General features: G+C 36.1%; 1 protein-coding gene across 9 annotated transcripts in view, besides 1 other annotated feature; it reads left to right on the plus strand.

Annotated features, from left to right (window-relative positions):
* QKI (QKI, KH domain containing RNA binding) overlaps positions 1 to 25,416 on the plus strand; it is a 163,875-nt gene that overhangs the window by 5,408 nt on the left and 133,051 nt on the right. The window lies entirely within an intron of this gene.
* Positions 3,052 to 3,296: a silencer, noted in NCBI's record as "fragment chr6:163844209-163844453 (GRCh37/hg19 assembly coordinates)". NCBI's record gives its function as "represses an EF-1alpha promoter that drives an FKBP-Casp9 reporter gene in an ReSE screen in K562 erythroleukemia cells {active_cell/tissue: K562}" and the evidence as "EXISTENCE:reporter gene assay evidence [ECO:0000049][PMID:32094911]".

The raw sequence follows: 25,416 nt of genomic DNA on the forward strand, positions 1-25,416 counted from the left end.
AGACATGTAAGGGCTTTTCTTTTCTTTTCTTTTTTTTTTTTTTTTTTGGTGGTTTTTTTCTTTCCTTTTTTTTTTTTATGGTTTGGTTTGGTTTTTATATCAAGGGAATTACACCAGTGTGATCATAGGAGCAACTTTTTATAAACTGGAACTACAGTTTAATTTACTTGAGAAATTCGGTGTAGCTAATACATTTGTTTGATTTATTTGTTTGATGTTGCAGTTGTAAGCAAAACTTGCCCTTCTCTGTTGGAGATGGAAAATGCTGTGACATTGTTGGTTTTTGTTTGTTGATAACTTAAAAGGCAGCCCACTGAGCAACTTTCTGCTATTGGTATGTCAGCTGTTATGAACATATCCAAGGTTCTATTTTAAGGCCAAGGGATGGGGAGTGGTGAGTGGGCCTATGTTAGGAGGTCACACAGATATATACCAGCTTTTTATTTACATGATCAACGGGACTTCATTTTTTTCTCCAGTCCCTCCTGTGTTTGACATTAAGACAGCTTAATGTGAATTTTAAGTGCAATAATGTGTTGTTTACCCTTAATGATAACTTTTAGGGAATATTTATACCCCTTTAAAAAAGTTTTGGGCCCACAATAGCTAGATTATTTCGTGTTTTACAGTTATATTTTTTACTTAACAGAAAATCACAACTAACAATAAACTTTTATGGTGAATATAGTTTGTTATCTTAGTGGGACTGTTAAGAAATTTGTTTATAACCCCAGTCTGTGTTAGGTACTACCTTCTATGGAGTGATCATTATAGTTAGCATTGGAATATTATTACCTGTCTGCCCTCTTAAAATTACTTTCTTGAAGGTGCCTACCTTAGAGCCTGGCATACACTTCTCAGATGTTTGTTGAATTAAACATGTTGACATCTTACCTCCTTTTTTGATTTCTAGTTTCTCAAAGATAGGGTATGTGCACATGGTTTAAAAAAAAATGAAAATCTGAAAGTGACATTAGAAATATTGTCTAATAATTTTAAGAAATGAAGCAGTTGTGTGATTGTTGATAGTTTTGTGCCCTTAGAGGAAAAGGCACTTATATGTTTTCTTAAAAACAACTTAAAAACATGTCATGTTATTTGTAGTACTTGCTGCCAAGGTGCTTAATTTTACTTTACTGTCATTGTTGGGAAGGAGATTTAGGAAGATAAAATTGCTTTACTTAAATAGTATAGTTTCTTGTCAGTCCTTATACCAAAGGGTATCAATTCATAAGCAGAGAAAAACTACCAGTGCTCATCTCAGCTCTTGGAAAATTTTGGCATTTATGGAATTATATAGGTAAACTCCCCACCCCGTTAGTTACCCTTTTAAAAGTCCCCACATATATAGTTCTTGTACTCCATGCAGGGCACAATAGATAGGAATGATTTCTTGTCCCTAAGTGCTGCTTTGGTGTGTTCAGGATAACGACTGTATTTGATTGAGTGATTTTAGTTTAAAAGAAAGCTGAGTATAATCATATGTGGCTGATTGTCATTTAACACAAATAGCTATGTTTTTAAACACAGGTGTGTCTTTTAATTTTAAACAGTGCCATTACTTAGAAAACTGATAAATTGAAGTTTTCACTTAGCTGAAACTAAGCTCTTTTATTTCTTTTTTCTTTTTTTTTTTTCAGTTGGAGTCTCGCTCTGTCACCCAGGCTGGAATGCAGTGGCGTGCTCTCGGCTCACTGCAACCTCTGCCTCCTGGGTTCAAACAGTTCTCCTCCCTCAGCCTCCCGAGTAGCTGGGATTACAGGCGCCCGCCACCACGCCCGGCTAATTTTTGTATTTTTAGTAGAGACGGGGTTTCACCATGTTGGCCAGGCTGATCTTGAACTCTTGACCCCATGATCTGACCGCCTCGGCTCTTGACCCCATGATCTGACCGCCTCGGCCTCCCAAAGTGCTGGGATTACAGGCGTGAGCCACCAAGCTCTAAACTGTTTATTACTGTGCTTTAGCAGTAACAGTGTTTGAAAATCTGTGATGAATTTTTAAAAAATATATTGCAGAAGTGATTTATCTAGAATTCTTACAATTAGCAAGAAAAGGACTGCACTTAATGTTTTCGTCTTCAGTTTCTTGATGCGGAAACTCTAGTTTGAAAATCCGGCAATCCTATCAAGTCTAACAAAATAAATTATGTTCATAAAGTTGCTTCATGTATTAGTCTAATATTTTTGTAGAACTAAATTTTGAGGCTGGGGAAATGAATCGATTGTAAGATTTATATCACATTATTTATTATAAGCAGAATGTGTCATATTCTGCTTAGCAGATAAGCAGATATTGAAGTATCGGAAAGAACATAATTAGTCGGATGTGGTGGTGTGTGCCTGTAGTCCCAGCTACTTGGGACGCTAAGGAGCGAGGATTGCTTGAGCCCAGGAGGTCAAGGCTGCAGTGTTATGATCATGCTACTGCGCTCCACCTTGGGCAACAGTGAGACCCTGTCTTAAAAAATAAAACATCAAAATGCAGTTACATCCATAAAGTGGCTCCACATAATGGTCACAATGTAAGTAAAGGGCATGTGTGTGCAGGCATTTATATCTGTAAGTGAAGACATGCAGTGAATGTGAGCTGGGCTTTGTGAGTACTGGGGCTGGTTAAGTTCCAGCTGAGAAAGGTTGGCCCCGGGATTGAATAAGTAGCTGGCCTTAAGTAAGCACCTCGCTTTTGCTTTAGTGCAGGAGAGGTCATTGTAGAGACTGGGCCTGATCTCCTGGTCAGTAGCAAATCATTGGGGAGCCCTTGGTTTTTAAGCTGATTTTATAGTTTGAAATATATAGGAAAAAACAAACAAAAAATAATACATTTTAAGAGTAGAATTAGGGAAATGCATAGTAAGAAAACAAACATGCAATTTTAAAATTTGAAACCGAGCCTGGTGAGGTGGCTCATGCCTGTAATCCCAGCACTTTGGGAGGCCGAGGCAGGTGGATCACGAGGTCAAGATTTCGAGACTAGCCTGGCCAATATGGTGAAACCCTGTCTCTGCTAAAAATTAGCCGGGCATGGTAGAGTGTGCCTACAGTGCCAGCTACTTGGGAGGCTGAAGCAGAAGAATCGCTTGAACCTGGTAGGCGGCGGTTGCAGGGAGAGGAGATTGCGCCACTGCACTCCAGCCTGGGTGACAGAGCGAGATTCCATCTCAAAAACAAATAAAATTTGGAACCTTTTTTGTAAACTCTTCAATGTCATAGTTTTACAGGGTCTCAAACTTACTTTGCAGATTATATCAGAGAATTGTGTTTTAGAGCTGCAGGGGACCTGAGAGTTGGGAGTATATGTTCATTTCATAGGTGCAAAGACAAGTGGGCAGCAGAGCTAGAGCAAGACACTCACTTCTGCCCTCTGTTCCATTTTGTGGCGTGCCTCTCCACAAGGGGAACTGGAGGGAAAAACCTGGAATATTTCCATATGCTAAAAATCTGCTGCTGTTGCCTCAAGTTGTGAAGGTAAAGAAGACAAACCAAATGATTTTTTGCTAATTCTGTGATATGCTGGTTTTGAACAAATGATGGTCAGATTCTTAGAACTAGAATTTATTTTTAACGATAACTTTCTAATTAAGAGGCTAAAAGTGAGAAAGCCATTTTTAGAGGATTTCAGCTCATTCACTTCTTTGTAAGCAAAGGCTAGAGCCTCAGTTTTTTGAATAATGTAAAAATTGTTGCTGCTATTATTTTTACTACTCAAGAGGAAACATTTTTGGCTGGGTGATTTAATAGAGAAGTATGCTATTGCTAAGTGATTCAAGTTAGGAATGTATACTTGTATCAGTTTTAGATCAGCCTGGGGTAAACAGCCCAATGATATATCAGGTAGATAACTGAAGAGTGACACCCAGGAGGTGGATGGTTATGAATTGAATGGAAACGGTGCTGCACCAGATAGCCACCAGGTAGCTACTATATCGTATTCCTGATGCCAGCATCTGGGGGATGATTGCTCATTTCAAATAATTCAAACAAATTAAATGTAAGCCACAGTTCTTTGCTATGTTACAGCAATTATATCCCTTTGATACAGTTGTTACATGGCAGGTGAATACATTTTTTTAAGAAAAAAAAATTTCAAACTGGGATCAAAAAAATTACCCTGAAACCGCATCTAATTGTCTATTGTCGCTGATTCCACCGTGGTTGCAGTGATGCCATTATCATGAGAGTATTCAAGTTTTAACTCTGTATGTGTGTGCCTGCACATGCGTGAGCCAGCATAAAGATGAAATGAATTTATGTTTTTGTGCATATGCTAATGAGACCCTGTGATGAAGTGGTAAGCATTCTTGTACTATAGACCTGGGATCTAATCATGACTCCGCAATTAACTGGTTTGGTGATCTTGGGTGAGATAACTAATGTCTCTGAACCTCAAGCTTCTTCATCTGTGAATGAAATTATCAACTGCCCTGCCAACCTCAAATCCAAATACTCTGAAGTTGATGGGTATTCAGAAGAGCCTCTCATACTATAAAGTAGCAGCATCACTGCTTGGTTTTTAATTTTTTTTTTTTTTTTAATTTTGTGTGAGTCTTTCTCTGTTGCCAAAGCACTGGATCTTGGCTCACTGCAACCTCTGTCTCCCAGGTTCAAGTGATTCTCCTGCCTCAGCCTCCCGAGTAGCTGGGATTACAGGCGTGCACCTCCACACCCGGCTAATTGCTGTATTTTAGTAGAGACAGGGTTTCACCATGTTAGCCAGGCTGGTCTCCAACTCCTGACCTCAGGTAATATGCCTGCCTCAGCCTCCCAAAGTTCTGGGATTACAGGTGTTAGCCACTGCCCCCGGCCTGCGTCATCTGCTTTCTATCAACATTTTAAAATCGCTTATGATAGGATAAACAATTAAATAAGCAAAACAGCTTTTAGAGAATGAGAAAAGAAAAAGAAAGATGATGTATCCATGTAGGTTCAGCTAGTTTTTATGTGCATGAGAGTCACTACTAACATTCTGGTAGTTTAGAGGATGTCACTTTGAGCTGAACTATCTAGTTATGTTTATTTGAGAAGTGGAACCTGAGTTGATATTAACAGCTGGTATGATTTAATGAGGTGAATGGGAAGGTGGAGGATGTTCCAGGAGAAGGGAAGGTGCAGCATTGCCAGCACCATGGTGATGGGCAAGGCTTAGGAAATAGGTACGGATTTAGTTAGTTGGAATGGCAAATGCATAGATAGAAGTAGTGGGAATAGATAGAGACTACAGAAAGCAGACCAGGTTAGGGCTAGATTGTGGTGGGCCTTGAAGGCCAGAATACATAGTCTGAATTTTATTCTGAAGGTTGTAGGGAATCTTTAAGGCTTGGATTATTTGGGGGTGTCAGAATGAACTCTTTGTGCATAAACTGAGAATGTATACAATATATATGGGTTTAAAGTAGACATTGGATGAAGTGTGAAGAGTCAAACTATTATATACGTGGCTAACCCTTTAGGAAAATTTTTTGAGTAGTGATATTTTCTCAAAATAGTATTAATAAAAATATTTATATTGAGTTTTCTGTATTTTAAACTCCTTAAAGATTTTTTAAATTTTGTTTTAACTAGAAACAAGTCTTTGTTTTCCTTACCTACAGGTTAGTGTATTCATCCTGAAGGATTGAGAACATGTGGGGCTCATTTGTTTAGCTGTCAGAGCCCAATTTTTAGTTAGAGAATTGAGCTTTTATTTCTATATGAGCTAAAGACAATTGAAGAGACTCTTGGAGAAAATCTTAGGAATTCTTGAATTAATTTGCCTTGAAGAAAATTTTGTCCCAATTTCAGAGATCCTTTAAATATGTTTTACCAAGTTTGATGCGGGCTTTTAAAATTTAATTGTATTAATTTTTGTGTTTATTTTAGGTAAATGAGAGATATCTTGACATTCTATCCCTAGAGAGATACATATTTGTGTATCTTTAAAAGTTAACACTTCCTTACATAGTGACATTACACTGAGCAAGATGGATTAATCCTACAGATAACGTAATAACCAGTCCATATTCAGATTTCTGTAGTGGATCCCCTGATATTCTTTATAGCTGGATTGTTCAAACCAGAATCTTACTCAATACTGCTCATTAAATCTGGTTGTTACGCCTTTTTAAATCTAGAACCATCTCTTTTTTTTTTTTTTTCAAATGACATTGATTTAACTTGTTCAGGGCTTGTTCCTTTATGCCCTGTGTATCTATTAACATTGGAAGCTAGTTCTAAAGTAGGTTCAAGAATAGCATCTTCCACTGGAGTACTTCATAGGTGCTGCTGTGTACTTTGTTATCTTACATCAGGAGGCACAGTAACTGGCTCTGCCATCAGATAAGGAAAGATTGATACCTGGATTAGAGTGGTGATAGATGGATCCTTGTACTTTAAAGGTAGTTTTTTTTGTTTTGTTTTGTTTTGTTTCCCCACTTGGAACCAGAAGGTGCCCCATCGACCAAAGGTGCCCCGTCAACATTCACACCTGGTTTTGACCAGTTTTTTGCCTGAATCAGTTTCATCAGAGCTTGCACCATGATGATACTTTAATTCTGCCATTCTTTCTGCAATTACTTGGCATCCTTTGAAAGGTACAGCTTTCTGACCCCAACACGGAAATACATTGCGATTTTGAAGTGAGTTTCTAATGGGGCAAGCCAGATATATGCTGCTGCTTATTATTACTTGGTTCTCAAAGTAAAGTGTTGGTTTGCTAGTTGCTTCAAATGGAGACCAATGAATTTTTTCTCTCTTTTCTAATCATCTTTGTAGACTCATGGATTTCATAGATTCAATGTACTTAAGTCAACTATAATTAATTTTGATGTTAAAATTATTACAACTTTAGCCATTGATAATTAAACTGGCTCCTGTGTCTGTTGAACTGCTGCTTGCTTTCTGGGGCACAAGGCTTCCCTTGTGCCTTGTCTGCCTTGCCTGTTCTGGAGCTACACTTGGCCATTTCTCCAATAGGAATGGTATGAAATACTTGAATTTAGGTGTTAAACATGTTCATTACTCTCAGGATGTGATTACTTCTGAGCCATTTTCTATGGACAGTATTGACTTTAAAATTCATTCATTCATTTTTATATTTTCAATTCAATTTTTTAACGTTACTGTTAATTTTATACTCGTACCTTTTTTTTTTTTTTTTTTTTTTGCTGGCCACAGCTAAACTAATGTTGTTCTTGATGGTGACATACTTATTTGCTTTATTCTACAATATTAAGGAAAATACTTTCAAAATAACAAAATTAATAATATTACTAATAGCAGTAAAACTATCTTTAAAATTTTTAAATTTGTTTTAGACATGTTACCAATAATATAGCCAGTGACCCATTTTTCTGGTTGATGACAATTATTTTCCTTTTTTGGTGGGGGGGTCCTCATTCTGTGTATACTAAGTTTTAATTTCTACTGAATCTTGTTTTTGACTTTTTGATGCTGTCATTTATTAGCTGTGTTCTTTTGTTGTACTTACTGCTTCTATTAGCTTTTACCTTATGCTCAGCAGACATGGAAAATACACATATATTTTAATGTCAGGTGCGTGCGTGTGTGTGCCTGCATGTGTGTGCGCGCGTGTGTGTGTGATGGCAATATGATCCAGAAAGATAACTTACAAGGAGATGGTTGTTTATACTAGTGCTTTGTATCTTAAGCACGAAGGGTAGGGAAAAAAGAATATGACAGGCAAAATGTTTCAATTTAGTGAATTCTTCTGAATAATATCAGTAAAAATATATATAGATCTTTAAAGCTTTTAAAGTCATATGAAGTAGGGGAAACCTCATAGGTAGAAAGTAAGTCTTAAAATTGTATTTCTTAGTAGTTGCAAAATCTCTAGTGCAAACTTGTTGTCATTAAGAACTTTTAGTAGTAAGGAACTTATGTTCCAGCAGATGGGGATGTTAGTACACAAAAGAGAGCACTCAGTGATTAAAATGTGTTGAGAAATAACCCTTTTGCCAGAATAGGAAAATGTTCTCCTTTAAATTGTAAGGGAAGAGTTGCTCAGGAATGTGACAAATAACAGTTACCTAATTGAGTATTTTCATTGGCATGTGAAAAAGTTGTCATAGTTCTTTAAAGAACTTGTCTTTTTAAGAGACTATATGTTGGTATGTTGACCATATTAAATGTAACTAGTTTAGTACATCAGATTGATTGCAGCTATTTTCTGAAATAGTTTCTGCCTTTACAACTCAGTTGTTTGAAGGGTTTTTGTTTTGGTGGGTGACTGAGTCACATATATTGAGAGGTATCCTGTTTGTACGTTTTCTTTGTAATTATAAAGTCTTTAGGCAGTTTATTTCTGTTTATTAAAATAAATCAGAAGAAAATGTGTCATAGTTTACTATATGTTATATGAAGAGAAAGTTCTTTTGGGGATCATAGTTTTATCATAGTAATAAAAAATTATCAGCAGTAAAAAAGATAGTCTTATCTCACTTTTATTATAGTTTATAGCATTACGACATACTGTTAGCTTTTTTAGTAGGTAAATACTACATAGATTGCTTTAACATATGCTTTGCAATTGTTGAAATACTGCTCATTTAAGTTCCTTCTTAGATGTGATTCAGAAGTGTACTTTAATGTATTTAAGTTATATTTTCCTAGTTCAGTTATATTGAGCTTTTTTTTTTTTTAAACTGTCAAGGCAATTTAAAATACTCTTGCCTTCAGTGACTTGAAATTGAACTCTGCACAGGAGAGAAGAATATGTCTTGTTTCTATATAGAGAACCAAGGAGGAAGAGATTGACTTTGCCACCTTTGTAACTGATAATAACTTGCATTTTAGTCCCTGCTCCCCAGCCCCACTTTTTTCCTTTTCTGTTATTCCTAAAATGTAGAGAATTGGAGATCGATCCACAGATTTTCAGTTCATCTTTGGCAGTAGCATGGTTTGTAACTTTTTTCATTCCTGGAAGAAGCAGTGGTGAGGGCACAGAGATAGCGTAGCACATTGTCTTTGAACCTTAATGGGAATTACTTCTTTTCAGGGAAATATAGCAATGGCCAATTTTGTCTATACATTTTAAGATTGTTTCTTATAGTTGTTAGAGATTTTATGAGAAGCTTGAATTTCTTTCAGTAATCCTAAAGAACTGTTATAAAGAACTTATTTATCAGAAGAAATATTCCTTATTGGGAAAAACTAAAATATATCAATTAAAAAGTTAAAAGTACTCATCATGCACTGATAGCTGCTCTTAATGTTTCCTTGTAGTCCCCCCCCACCAGTGTTTATGGATGTAGCAAAATTGGAATTACGGTTTTTAAAAAAAATTATATCATGAGCAAAATTTTTCCTTGCCATTTCATATTCTTTGCAAATATAATGTTTATAGTAATATATTTCATGCTGTCGAGGTATATTATAATTTACTTAACTAATCTGTTGGACTTGCCACTTTGCTTTCAGGAAATGTGTGTAATGATAGCATTAAGTGGCTTTAGAAGTTACTTTTTTAAAAGCCTTAAGTTACAAAATACTGTAACTGGGAATTATGAATACCAAACTCTTATTTTTGCAATGCAGTTAATCTGAAATAAGCATTTTATGTTGCATTGCAGTAGAAACTGGTTGTTAGGATGCAACGTGATTTTCGAATAATGTCAGAGTTGCATATTTCATGTATTAGTTTTTAGTGACTTAACATACTTAATTGAAACTTTTCATTCTATTCTAGGCTGTTTGGTTGTATGCTATTAATATGTGTGCGATGTTATGAGGGACACACTAAAGCTTCAAATTCATTCCTTCAAGTTATCTCAGTAGTTGGAAAGAATATGAAAATAAGAGTAACAAAGGAAATAGAAACATACCAAGAAGACTAAAGACTGGTGCTAAAGAGGGTGTTTTTGGCTGAGGAGGCTATGGAATGTTTCAGGAGAGGAGGTAAAATTTCATCTGGCTCTTAAAGGACAGGTAGGATTGAAGTGGAGAACAGGTAAGGGAGTGGCGTTCTAGACACAGGGAACGGTGTTCTTGAATGTGGGAACATTCTGAGTAGGAAGGTGTAAATAATTCTCTATTAGAGAGAGCTTTTTATACCTTTGGTCTTAGCTTTTTCCTTTATCTGCCTCCATATTTCTGTTTTTAGTCCAGATTTTCTTATCTCTATCCTGTACAGGCATTACATTATAGAGTGATATATTAATGTGGTAGATTGCTGTGATTGCTGCTGTCCTTCTCTTCCCTTCATTTTCAGATGTTCTTTTTTCTTGACTTTGACTCTCTTTAGGTTTTTGGAGAAGAGGGGTATCTTACTGCCTAACTTTTAATTTTAACTATTGTTTATCTGTATGCTTAATTTGGCTTTTTATTTTTTTTGTTTTCCTAGTGCATTTGGATTTTACTTAGCTTTTATTATGAAGCCATGTGTTTCAGTTTTTTTCTGTATGTGTAGGTGATTGGGCTTATGAATTGATCAGGAGCATGGAGGAATAGGTACATCTGGATTAGCGAGTGTGTGAATTCTTGAGCTGATGGGCCTAAGCTCTAAAGGATAGATTAGTTGTCAGCATATTCTGGTCTAGATAGTATGGCATAGTTTTTACCAGTATGCTTTCTTTTCCCCATCTTCCCAGTTTGCTTTTTACTCTAATGGCTTGAAAAAGTATAGGTTAGGTTGGAAGTGAGAGAACAAAAATCTGCTAATTTAACTCTGAACAAGGAAGGCTTTAGGCTGATGTTTGAAAAGTGTGTTCCATGGAATACTGGTCTCCTGAGGTAGTCTGAGAAAAGAAGGGTCCTGTAGTCCAGGAAGTTCTGCATACTCCTTTTGTGAATTCAGGATGTGTTGCCATATTAAGTCTCCAGGATTTGCAGTCAAGAAAGTTAACTTGGTTTAACTGAGCATTTTCTGAAATTACTTGGTTAAGGAAATACGGTTTTTCTTTCTTTTATTCTTGGTACTAGTTCTGAGGATATGTTAAGGGAAATTTTAGGGGATTGTTAAAGATCTGTGGATCCTTGGGTGGAGGCAGGTTTAAACAATAATTGTTTGGGAATCTTAATTTTGAATGAGAGTGCTGGCTCAAGTCAAATCAAAGTACCCCTTGGAAAAAAAAAAGTTATATTATTCCACTTAGGTTGGGCTTCAGGTTTCAATTGAAAGGAAGCAAGAAAACTGTCCTTGTCTGGCTTTCATTAAATAACAATTCAGTCAAATGATTTCAGTAATGAATTTTGTCTAACTCAAATGCATTTGTTATTTAAATAAAAATTAAGATGTGCTGTTTTTTAAAAATGTAATTCTCTAAATAAAAAAAATTAACATAGAATCCTGCCAGCTTAAACATCAAACTGAAACTTACTTTAAAATAGGTATATACAGAGAAATATGCTCATGTTGTAACTCATGCCTGGTTTACATCTACATTTTTTAAATTTGGGAATGACTGAATTGTGAGGTGAAGAGGAATTAGTAAATTTTGGAAAGAAAAATACTTATCTTTGTTAGGTCATTTAAACAAACATTAAGATGCAATTTTGTGAGATCTGTCAGTAACACCGGTTGTTTTCTGTGAACTTAGATTTTAATCTATTAATAGAATATATTATCTCCCCTCATTCAGTTATATCATAAAGTTTTGGTGACCTTTGTAGCCTTTATAAAAGGGAAGTCTAAGGGTGGATAGTAGAATAGCATTTTATTTGGAAGGCCCTAAAGATTTTTGTAAAAAAAAAAAAACAAAAAACTGTTCTTATTAAAAAAAAAAAAAAACCCTGTAATTCTGCAATTTTAAAGCGGGTGTGGATTTGAGAGATCGTAGACCCATTCTTCATTATATATGTAAATGCTGTTCCTTTACAAAGGATATGAATACATTTTATATTTTGGAAACTGCTGGTTTCAGGCATGTTAGATCATTTGGCTCTTGGGACAGAAATATATTTAAGTTACATTATTAACAAGTAAGAGTACCTTTGGGCCTGATCCCCTCTAAGCAGAATAATGTCATGACTGATAATTGTGTAATGTGGCTACCTTCTGTTGTGAATAGTCTTAATTAATTTAATTCTGTTTTGTTGCTGGAAGTATCTACCCAGGGTATTTTAAATTCTTCCTCCAAATAAGAATACAATCAAGCATCTAATGCACAGTCATATTATCATTAAATTGATGTTAAACCAAAGACAAAGGCTCTCCTAGGTAGTGTCCATTAGCATTTTCCAGCAGGGTGAATCTAGGTCTAGGAACAATTCACTGAATATTTGCCTAAGGGTTTTCACTTTCCATGTTTTACACAATATAAATAATTTAAAATCCCCCCCCTTTTTTTTTTTTTAAAGAGATGGGGTTTCACCCTGTCTAGGCTAGAGGGCAGTGGTGCTATCATAGCTCACTGCATCCTCTAACTCCTGGGCTCAAGCGATCCTCCTGCCTCAGCCTCCAGAGAGGTAGGACTGCAGGGGTGAGCCACCATGCCTGGATAATTAAAAAAAATTTTTTTTTTGGTAAGAGACAGGGTCTCACGATATTGCCCAGCCTGGTCTTAAACTTAAGGCCTCAAGTGATCCTCCTGTGTCAGGTGTCAGCCAGTAATTTAAAATGTTTTGTTAAGAGTAGTCTCTCTCTTTCCCCACTTTGTTATAGATCTGAGTCATTTGCTTTGGAATAATGTGATAAAAGTCTAAGATAAAGGATTGCTAGACTAATATTTAGACATGTTTGTGTTGATGTTCTGTACAGGTTGTAGTTTTATAGGCTAGAATAGACTAAATTTTGAAGGGTGATTAGTTAAGAATAGACTAAATTTTGAAGGGTGATCTGAAAAGACTTTATATTGTTCTTTTGTAAATCTTGAGTAAAAGAAAATAACCAAACAGGGTAGTGAGTAGAGAGATAAATGAATCCCTTAAGAGAATGATAGTAATAAAGGCAGGTGGAAGTAAGATCAGAGTTAGAAAATCTTAGATTTGTTTTAGGTTATAGGAAAATTGATTTATTTTACATGTTGGTAAAAGGCACAAGAGGCTTCTTTTTACATTTTACTTTATCAAAGTGAAACTTTTTCATTTGATTTTTAAATTGGAACACATTAACTGAATGGCATAGGATATATCATAGTGATGTTGTTTAGGTACATGGTAACTGCAGATAGGTCTCAAGTTGACCACATTTGAATGTTACATTATTACTTTGTGGATATTTAAAGACAGATGGCTTGAAGCCTGAGAAGGGGGAAGGAGTGAAAGTATAGGAGCAAGTGGTGGTAATTTAAGAAGATCCTCAAGTAGAAGTCTGATTTTGTGATTTCAGAGTCTCTTTAATTGTTAATGTTACTATTATTAAATAACAGGTACATATATCCTAACAGTATAAATATGAACCAGAAAAATAGTATAAGAATGAACCACAGGCCGGGCACGGTGGCTCATGCCTGTAATCCCAGCATTTTGGGAGACCGAGGTGGGCAGATCACGAGGTCAGGAGTTTGAGGCCAGCCTGGCCAACATAGTGAAATCCCATCTCTACTAAAAATATACAAAAATTAGCCGGGTGTGGTGGCACGTGCCTGTAGTCCCAGCTACTGGGGAGGCTGAGGTGGGAGAATCGCTTGAACCTGGGAGGCAGAGGTTGCAGTGAGCTGAGACCACGCCATTGCACTCCAGCCTGGGCAACAGAGTGAGACTCCTCTCATAAAAAAAAAAGAATGAACCACGAAAGGTAGCATGCCTTGCACTTTTAAAATGCTACCTATAAGGTTAAATATTTTGTTATGAACTTAAAATGTGTACATACACATTTATATAACTCAACAATTGAAATGAAAGTTTCATGAAATAATACTTGTCTGTACTGCCTGTGATGCAGTATACTATTTTTCTATTCTGTTTCATTTTTAAAAAGGTTGGTTGTGATTGATAATATTGATTTAGTGGCTTGTGTGCTGTGCAGTCTTAGCAAAACCGATGTCGATTCCTGCTGTAATTTAGTTTTCAACAAACTTTTTTTTTTAATCCAGCTCTTTGCTGGGTGCTGGGGGGATACAAAGATGGATAAGACATAGTCTAGTGCTCAAGGAGCCACACAATGGCATGGAGAGTAATGAAAATAGAAGCTGCAATGCTGTAACTGCCCTAACAGAGGCATGCCCAGCCTGAGATGGAAGGGGCCACATCATTTCCTAGCAGGAAGATGGCAGTTTCTTCTAGGTTCACAGATTACTACTGCGTATAATCTGATAATCCCTCTTATGACGGGCTTACCTTGATGGGAAAGTTAGTTTTTTACCTAGATTTTATAAAAACTAAACAATAATCAAGTTTACTTGAAAATAAGATATTTTTGAACTTTTAGCTTACTGGCCAAGTTTGTTAAAAAATAAATATTAATCTTGGCACTTTGGGAGGCTGAGGCGGGCGGATCATGAGGTCAGGAGATCGAGACCATCCTGGCTAACACAGTGAAACCCCCTCTCTACTAAAAATACAAAAAATTAGCCGGGCGTGGTGGTGGGCGCCTGTAATCCCAGCTACTTGGGATGTTGAGGCAGGAAAATGGTGTGAACCCAGGAGGCGGAGCTTGCAGTGAGCCAGGATCGTGCCACTGCACTCCAGCCTGGGCAACAGTGTGAGACTCTCAAAAAAAAAATTAATAAATAAGATAAATGTTAATTATATAGATAATCTTTAAAAAAATTAAATTTTACAAATGAGTAATATTTTCCTAAATATGTCATAGGAACTAGCTTTAATATTATTATTGGAGAAATACTTCTTTCCTGACTTTTTCCCCCCTCAGTATTGTGACTTATTAAGAAAGGTAAAGTCAGGTAGAAGTTTAATATAAAAATATATTTGATTATTTGTACAGATGGTAAATTAAACTGTAAAATAAACCATTAACTTTTAAATAATGGAATAAAAGATGGGTACTTAATTATCCAACACTTAAAAATGATTTTTTTAAAAAATTGCAACTTGTGTATATTCTGTATATTGACTTTTTATCTCACAGTGAATTCACAATAATACTGAATCTAGACGTTAATAGATTAGTTGCATATTATCCAAAAAACATAAAGCATGACATTTCTATAGAATTTAGTTTCTGTAAGTTACGCAATTGTTACAGGTTTTTCCTGTGAAGGATAGGCTGCTACCTCAGGTTGAAGAAGCTAATGTTGGAGTGAATGTGGTGGTTGCCTTAGAATGATTTTGCCGGCAGCAGTGAAAAATGTTTTCCTTATAGTTCTTGTGCAGCAGGCCATGGAGTAAAGCACATTTTTATAATAAAGGTGATGAATTTAATCGCAAACTGGCAGCCTAATGGAAATTGCAGACCTTGATACTGGGAGAAAATTGCCTATAAAGCAACTCTTGAGAGAACAGGCTTTAAATTTATCCACCCATTTTGACATTGAGGAGAACATTGGAATCATAGGGTATTTTGCTTGGCCTGCTTAGTTCAGATGAATGACACTTGAGTATTCTATTTAAGTGTTAGAGATGGTTTAAAGTTAAGTTTTATACATTAAAGCCTTTAGCACATGCATTTTTGTATTTTATAAAGTATTTAAAATTTTGCTGGTTTTTAACATTTTAGTAGATGATATGCCTAATGAAATCCATTTGCCACGTTTCTAGTCATATGCCGTGTATTTCATGTTTCTGCTGTATATATGAGGAACTGCAATCTTAAAGGATATAGAATATTGTGGGCTTATAATTAACACTACTGACAGAATGTTTGTCATATAAATGATCAGTCTTTACTATTTTCTATTGTATTTAAGCCATTTATATTATAATATTTAAACACAGAATGGTAGAAAATTTCTATTACAGGAAAATCTGGGTTTTTGTCATTTTTTACTCTAAGTGACTAATGTTTGTAATTTCTTAGGAATAACCAAACCCTTGATTCAGTACACACTATTTAAAGTGTTTAATCCAGAATTTAGGTGCATTGTAGTGTGTATTTTGAGATGCCTGTTCTGTCCCGCAGTATACATGCTTGTTAACAGATAGCTAATGTCCAAGTTCAGAGAATTATTTGTGGCTATTGGAAACATTTACCCATCCAAGCAAGGTAAATGTTTAAAATGTAGAAATGCTGATGTAAAATATAAAAATAACATTTCTCATTATACTTATTGAAACTACTGGGGTTTAAAGGTAAAGAAGTGTTAACTTCTAGAAGGTTATTCGATTTTGCTTCCATACACAACCCTGATTCTTTTGACTGTAGTTTTGGGCAGCATGGTACATTACATAATAAGGGTATAGCTGTGGTAGATCTTTGTTCTCTTTAGGTATAGAATTGGAGAAGTTTAAGTTTAAAGCAAGTATGAGAGCTTAATATTTTGATGGAGAAAGCAAGAAAAACGTTTTACAAATTCTCTATTCAGGGAACAACTTACTGAGGTGGTCATGAGACTGAAGGTATGAAAAGGAAGAAATGGCAAGGTGCGGTGGCTCACACCTGTAATCCCAGCACTTTGGGAGGCCGAGGTGGGCTGATCACTTGAGGCCAGGAGTTCAAGACCAGCCAGGCCAACATGGTGAAACTCCATCTCTACTAAAACTACAAAAATTAGCTGGGCGTGGTGGTGTGTGCCTGTAGCAGGAGAATCTTTTGAACCTGGGAGGCCGAGGTTGCAGTGAGCCAAGATCACTCCATTGCTTTCAAGCCTGGGCGACAGAGCGAGACTCCGTCTCAAAAAAAAAAAAAAAAAAAAAAAAGGGAAGAAGAAATAGAAGTATTCCTTTTCTTGCTAAAGCAAGAACCAGTAAATTGTATATTTTTCATTGAAAGTAGTTCCATCTAAATTAAGAGCCTGACTTTTTGGAGAATGATTACATTCATAGGAGAAGAGCATGTAATGTTGGAGATACATTTGAATGTTTAGCCATCTCTCAATTTCCATGGAGAGGAGAGTTCAAAATAAATCAACTCTTTAATTCCCTTATCGGTGACATAGATACTTGGTCATTTGTTTTATTTGGCTGAAGGAAGCTGTGGCAAGTTGAGAATTCAGAGGTAAAGCCTTTGTGAGAGAGATGATGTAGTTTAATTATTTTAACTCTAGTTCTCCTGATCCAGGAAAGCTTTATTTTTACTTTCAGATGAAAATTAAAATTTGTTGCAATTTAACGTGTAACACGAAGCTAGAATAAGGTATATACATAAGCTATATATGTATATAATTTAAATGATACAAGTGATGTATGTATACATATAGTACTTATGTTAAAATTTTACTGTTTTTCTGTAACAGGCTATAAATTTAGTGTATCGATTATCAAAGTATAATTAGCTGAATATAATTATTTGTTTATGAGATGATACTAAATTCAGTTCCCATAGATACTGGTGGTGATTTACTTTTTAAAAAGAGTTTTTCTTGTTATGTGCTTAAATCCACACCCGAAATGTAGCCATAATTTAGTTCAAGATTGTTTATGCCACAGTCTGGAAAACACCTGAAGTAATTGAGATTTTTGAGTGGTTGTGAATGGATTTTAGAATCATGTGTTGAACAGTGACATCACTAAATTAGCCATAGTAATGTTACTGTTTCACATTGAGGGTTTCAGGTGTGATGCTTTTCAGTTTTTTGTTTTTGTTTAGATAACTATTTTAGGGTTTGAGTTATAGTTATGCAAATTTACATTACGGTAATGCAAATATACCTTCCAAACTTGTGTCAATATGTATTAGACGCTAAAATGCCCTCCCCTCCCATCTCTGTTTCCCTCAAATTATTCATTTGTGGTTAAACTAATTTTAAACTCCGGAAAAGTGGTTAAGCCAAAAAAGGTCAGATCCTGGAAGAAAAAGCTCTGACCTTTTAAAAAGAGTGTTGGAAAAGTATTTGACGGTCATTTTCATAAGCTAAATGTACTGTGAGGTTTGTGTTTGAGTAGCTTTTAAGGTTTTCTGGATTATGTGGTTGAATTTTAAGGAGGAACTTAGTAAAAATGAGTTGGGAAAATTAACCTGTTACATTCTACCTTCCTTTTGCTATGTATAGTAGATCTACATGTGAGAAGTCATTTGCAAACAGCATTTGTTAGGTGTCTTTTCTAAGTATTTTTTATGCCTACAAAGTCTGGGAAAAGACCATTTTCAGATTTCAGATAATATTTCAGATAAATAATGATCAGATCAGTAGATACTGTCTTTCAGATCTATCAGAACACAGTATTTCCAGAATATAATTTTACATCACAGTCATCATTTATAATGACATTGATGACCAGTACTATTATTATTTTAAAGAGAAAGATATATATACACATACACATAAAGTCATGCATTGCTTAAAGACAGTGATAGATTCTGATAAATGCATCATTATGCTATTTCCTTTTGCGAACATCATAGGGTGTACTTGCATAAATCTAGATGGTATAGCCTACTACACACCTCAGCTGTATGGTATAGCCTTTTTTGTTCCTAGGCTGCAAACCTGTACAGCATGCTACTGTACTGAATACTGTAGGCAGTTATAACACAATGGTATTTGTGTAAACGTAGAAACATTCTAAACATAGAAAAGGTACAGTAAAAATGTGGTATAAAAGATAAAAAATGGTATACCTGTATAAAGCACTTACCATAAATGGGGCTTGCAGGACTGGAAGTTGCTCTCGGTGAGTCAGTGAGTGAGTGGTGAGTGAATGTGTGAAAGTCCTAGGATACTACTGTGGATTTAATAAACATTGTATTCTTAGGCTGCCCTGAATTTATAAAAGATATTTTTCTTAAGTAATAAATTAACCTTAACATACTATAACTTTATAAACTTCTAAATTTTTTAAACCTTTGACTACAATTACAGTTTAAAATACAAATACATTATACAGCTGTACAGAAATATTTTCTTTATATCCTTATTCTATAAGCTCTTTTCTGTTTTCGAACTTTTCTATTTAATTTTTACTTCTGAGTCCTTTTTGTTGAAGACAAACACACACATTAACCTAGGCCTGCACAGGGTCCAGATCATCAGTTTCATCTTCTTTCACCTCCACAGCTTGGCCCACTGCCAGGTCTTCATGGGCAAGGGCTGTATGGCTTACCAGTGTGTCTCCAGCACAGTGTCTGATACCACAGAAAGATAGGAACTACTGCATTAATAATAGCAGATTCTTGAGCATGTATTACATGACAGACACCTACAAATATTTGTTGTTCAAGCGAAAGAATTTATTCTATCAAACTCAGAATTTTCGCTCTAGAATAATCCTTCGTGGTTTTTTTTTGTTTTTTTTTTTTTTCGGGGGGGTGGGGGACGGAGTCTCACTCTGTTGCCCAGGCTGGATTGCAGTGGCACGATCTCGGCTCAATGCACCCTCCGCCTCCTGGTTTCAAGTGATTCTCCTGCCTCAGTCTCCCGAGTAGCTGGGATTACAGGTGCCCGCCACCACACATGGCTAATTTTTTTTTTTGTATTCTTAGTAGAGATGGGGTTTCACCGTGTTGGCCAGGCTGTTCTCAAACTGCTGACCTCAGGTGATCCACTTATCTCGGCCTCCCAAAGTGTTGAGATTACAGGCATGAGCCACCGCGTCCTGAATCCTTTTTTTTTTTTTTTTTGAAACAGAGTCTCACTCTGTTGCCCAGGCTGGAGTACAGTGGCTTGGCTCACTGCAACCTCCATCTCCAGGGTGTGAGCAATTCTCATGTCTCAGCCTCCCGAGTAGCAGGTAATACAAGTGTGTGCCACCACGCCCAGCTAATTTGTGTATTTTTAGTAAAGATTGAGTTTTGCCATGTTGACCAGGCTGATCTCGAACTCCTGATCTCAAGTGATCTGCCTGCCTTGGCCTCCCAAAGTGCTGGAATTACAGACGTGAGCTACTGTGCCTGGCCTAGAATAATCTTAGAAGTCCTCATGGATGAGTAAATATGGATGGTGAAAAGCTTAAATGAGAATGTCTTGTCTGATTTTCATTCCACTTTTAATTTGAATATACCATTTCCTTTCCCCCCTCATTGTATATGTCTCTACTTTTTTGTTCTTTACTTTATTCATAGTTCTAATTTCTACTCACTGCCCCATCTTTTCCTTCTTCTCTATCTAGCTCTTACCATCTGTCATCACTGCTTTTCCCACTATCATGATCACTCACTCTAGCAGCAACCAAATTTAACTTTGGGGATGGAGCAGTAGTGCTGGAGAGGCCAAATGGTATGAGTAAAAGAATACAGCTTTTGGAGTCAGCTAGATTTTCATCTTTATGTGGTCTTTGGTGAAAGTACTTAATCCCCAAATCTCTCTTTCCTAACTATGAAATGAAGGTGAAAATATTACTTACCTGTAAGGGAATCTACCTGATAATAATGGAATAAAATGCTGACTTCCACCACAGAGTTCTTGGGGAGGCTTTTTATGTGGAAAGACATTAGACTTCATTACTCTGAATTCTGGATTTGTATCTCCTAGCCATATAGACTGAATGACTGTAGAATCCAACATAATGCTTTTAATATTGGCATAACTTCCTTAGTTTAAGTTATATGATGAGATGTAGAAACTCAATAAAAGGTAAAATTATTCTTTGTGTTATGAAGTATGTTTAGAGGTTTCTTTTAAGAGGTCTTATTTTGCTACTCTGCTTCAACTATAGTTTTTGTTCATTTAGTTTGTTATAGAACTGGGACCATGTCTGTATTTGCACATGACTATATTCCTAGGGCCTTGGCCAGTGCCTGGTACAGAGTAGGTGTAAAATACATAGTTGTTGAATGCATATACGAAAAAAATCATTATATTGTATCATTGGTAAGACAGTTTTTTTTTTTTAAAACAGGTTATACTTTATTCAGGTCAGTTCAATTTTGTAAAGTTTTTACTTTTAGGAAATTAAAAAGCTTTTATTTTATTATGTTCTGAATATATTTTTACTAAATATACTTTGAGTACAGGGTTAATTAGGACTGTGCAGGCTATGAATATAGGGTTTATGATAAAGCTCAGTAGGAGTGGATGATTGCAGTCCTTTTGTGCAATCCTGGCAGGAGCAGCCTTTTCCTTATTGGCTCGGTTTTTTTCTTAAAGCCAAGACTAAGCACATATTTAGATGCCTGTATATTTTATTTTCTCATCTGATGTAAGATACACTGGAAGAATTTAGCATTGATGTAATGAACATATGTTATTAGCAAAGTGTTCTAAACTTCTCAAGTCCAGAATAAAGAGACCAAGCCATTTGCAGAAGAGCACTGTGCATTTATATTACTTTAAAGGGAAGAGGAGTAAGCTAGCTAGAATTGTCAAGCAGATGCCATATTGATGCTTGAGTGAAGTTACAAGAAATATTTTTGGAGCTTTGCGTGTTTTTGTGCTAATAGTCCTAATATTTGTTCAAAAGGTGTTTTTTCTCCAAGGATGTAGATGTTACAAATATAGCAAAAGGCAAAAACAAAGCTATCTGCCCTCTCAGCTAACATTCTAATGTCAACAGGCAATAATCAATAAACAAGTACAGTAATGTATTAGGAAATATGAATTATAGAAATAAAATTGAAGGGTAAAGGGGATCTGGAGTGTTCCTATGGATTGAGGCAAGTTGCTGTTTAAAAATAGGAAGATCAAGGTTGGACTCCTTGAAAAACTGGAGCAGAAATCTGAAGGAGGTGTTAGTGTGAGCCATACTGCTCTTTGGGGAAAAGCTTTCCAAGGCAGGGAAAGAGTTACTGCAAAACCTTGAGGGCAGGGCTAGCAATTCCTTGTGTGGACTTGTAGCCAGGGACGGAGGTTAGGTTGGTTAAGGACATTTGATCAGAAGGGCAAAAAAGGTGAGGGCAAGGGGAGCCTGTGTGGATGCTGTAGGCTATTGTTTATCTTTGTAAGGACCTGGGCTTTTATACCAACTGAGATGGGAAATCATTAGAGCAGTGGTTCTGGGCATCCTTTTAGGGAATCTGTGAAATCAGACTATCTTTGTGATAATAAGATGTTATTTGCCATTTTCACCACCATTTACATACGAATGTACAGTGGAGTTTTCCAGAGGCTGCGTGCTATGTGATATTGCAACAGATTGAATTCAAGAGAAGAGAGAATCTAGCTGTCTTTATTAAAACAGACATTTAAAAGATTGCAAAAGTATAAAACTGACCTTTTCAGTAATTTGTTTAGTTGGAAAATAGGTTATTTTCTGTAAAATGTGCATTTTTGGTTAATATATAATAAGTTTACTAGTATTTTAAAATGAAAAAATAATTTAAACATTTTTAGTTTTAATTTCTAGCGTGGTAAGTTTTATTAGACATAACTTTCATGAACAGGGATCTCTTTGGGCTCCTCCAATTAATTTTTAGAGAGTGGAGTCCTGAAACCAAAAAGTTTGAACAGAGGAGTGACATCTCACTTGGATTTCAGCAGGCTAACTCCAAAGAATAAAGAATAGACTGACCAAGGTAGTGGTGGAAGCAGGTAGACCGGTTAGGTTAAGATTAGGTAGGAAATGATTGTGGTTAGAGCTGTAATGTTAGGGCTTGTGATGGTGAAGTGAAATTGGGGATATAGTCTGAAAGTTGAGTACACAGTATTTGCTAGTGGATGGAATATGAAGTGTGAGAATGGACTTGACATTGTGTCATTGCCCGAGATCAGGAGGAACAAATTTTGGGGAAGGCTTAGGAGTTTAGTCTTGAATGTATCAGATAGGTTGAGAAGGGAGTTGGTGATAGGATTTCATTGTGGAGGGTTGGTCTGGAATGTCCATTACCAGGGTTTTTGTTGGATTGTATTAGTAATATATATTTTTTAAATATAGTATTTAGCTTCTAATCAGTTATACTTTTACAATCTCAACACAGAGGGCTGTATTCTGCATTGAAAAACTGATTAAATTTGCTTTCCAAGTATGTTATTATATGATAGAATGTACACTTGAAGAGGCAGTAAAAAAGTAATAAATGTAGATTTGCCAGTAGCATGACATGACTTAGATTTTCTGAATCTTTGTGAAGTAAACCAACTGTGGTTTAATTAAAGGAGATCATATTGCTTACCATATTAAAATAATGTTTTCAATACCAATTACTTTGACATTTGAAGGCACTGTGTAATATGTTGGTCTTGTTACAGACCAAGATATTTTTGCTGAATTTTATTTTTCGAATTCAATGTCAGTGCTTGTTGTAGTTCCTTTTGGAATATTGTGTATAGTAGATTGTTTCTTAAGCCTTTAAAAAACTCTTCACCGGGTACAGTGGCTCACGCCTGTAATCCCAGCACTTTGGGAGGCCAAGGCGGGTGGATTACGAGGTCAGGAGTTCAAAACCAGCCTGGCCAAGATGGTGAAATGCTGTCTCTGCTAAAAATACAAAAATTAGTCGGTGTGGTGGCGGGTGCCTGTATTCCCAGCTACTTGGGAGACTGAGGCAGATAATGGCTTGAATCCGGGAGGCAGAGGTTGCAGTGAGCCAAGATTGCGCCACTACATTCCAGCCTGGGCGAGACTCCGTCTCAAAACAATAACAACAACAACAACAACAACTCCTCTTGGCTTTTTCATAATATGAGAGAATTCTCTTGCAACACCTGTGAATGTCTTTTGACATGTATTTTCTTTCCTAAAAATGTCATGAAGTGACAGACATGTATTTGCTTTGTTTATGGTATTAAGGTGATACTGAGGTAAACCTATGCTACATGATTATAAACCTTAGGTTCTTTCTGTATTGTACTTAGGTGAAATTTTGAATACAATCGAAAAGGTTAATTAAAAATCAAATAAATTATTACCTAGGAAAAAGCAATTTACCCCTACCTCCTACACAGACGTAACTCCTTCAGAATTTTTGGGGCATCGGTTTCATTTTCAGTCTGATTTACCAAATTCCTTTTAAAGCCCTAAGGGATTTGGAGCTTCAAGAGGGCGAAATACATAGGTACAGACCTTTCCCCACTTCTTCAAGAGCAAGTGTAGAGGAATCTAATTACATGAGGATTTGGTGTTTTCCGAGGATGTAATTTAAAGTAAATTCTGGTGGCCAGTAGTAGTTTAAGACATTTTAGAATATATAGTTCTGGCAGGAGTAGGATAGTCTGGCCTGGAGTTCTCAACCAGTCATTGAGTATATACAGCCCTTGCCTGTAGGGGGTCAGTACAGAAGGAGCACAAAATGGAATTCTCTGTAAGAAGACAAAGAGATGCATTTTAGGGCAGATGGAAGCCATAAATGTGATGTGGTCTAATGTGCTCATTTCGCAGATGAAGAAAATGAGACCCAGAAGGTTCAGTTTGAAGGCACACAGCTCAGCTAAATCATGCTGGCGAAACAGGAGTAAAATCCAGGTTGTGTAAACTCAAGGCCAGTGCTTTTTGCCTTACCACATGTATTAGGAAGATAGGCTTTTTATAGAAAGGTCATTGTTTTGGATTGTAATCTTTCTCCACCTTCTTTAAGGAAAGTTCAAAGTGTGTGTGTTTTCTTTTAAAGCAGTATATTAAAGAAAATCTAAAACGTATAGATAAAATTTACAAAGCTTTTGCAGGGAAAGTCATCTGTAGTTGAGGTTAACATTAGATCTTTTATCTGTGGATATTTATTTTGGAGAAGAGTAACGAATATATTAAGCACTTATATTTAACATATATTTTGGATGATTAGTAATGATTGCTTATTTGAAGAAAGCAAATATGTATAATTAAAATTTTAACAACATTATTTAAACTGTAGAAGATACCATTTTGAGTGATTTTTTTCCCTCAGTTTTCTTTATCTTTTTTCACAGCTTTCATACTTTGTCACATTATTTCCCCCCTTCCCTCATTAGAATAAATAACCCCAAAGTCCAAAGCAAACACTTTTTAATTATTATTATTATTATTTTTGAGACAGGGTCCTGCTCTGTCACCCAGGCGAGTGCAGCGGAGTGATCATGGACCACTGCAGCCTCTACTTCCTGGGCTCAAGCGATCTTTCCACCTCAGTCTTGAGTAGCTGGGACTACAGGCACACCACCACACCTGGCTAATTTTTGTGGAGATGGGATTTGCCATGTTGCCCAGGCTCACTTTTTAAATTGTAATTCTTTATTTTGAAATAAATTTAGATTTACATAACAGTGGAAAAAAATAATGTGGATGTTAACTCATATAATCATAGTATAGTTATGGGAAGCAGGAAATGAGTATTGATACAGTGCTATCACTAATCTGCAAATCTTACTCAAATTTTACCTGTTTTCCTCCTCACTCTGTTGGTTTTTCTGGTCCAGGTTTTCCTACTCTGTTGGTTTTTCTGGTCCAGGTTTTCCTACTCTGTTGGTTTTTCTGGTCCAGGATTCCACATTGTATTTAGTAGTGATGTCTGTTTCGTTTCCTCCAATCTGTGGCCATTTCACATTCTTTCATGACCTTGACACTTTTGAAGAATGCTAGTTATTTTATAAAAATGTTCTTGAATTTGGGTTTGTTTGATGTGTTCTCATGATTATAATGAGGA

Source organism: Homo sapiens, chromosome 6, assembly GCF_000001405.40.
Source record: "Homo sapiens chromosome 6, GRCh38.p14 Primary Assembly".
Taxonomy (NCBI): Eukaryota; Metazoa; Chordata; class Mammalia; order Primates; family Hominidae; genus Homo; species Homo sapiens.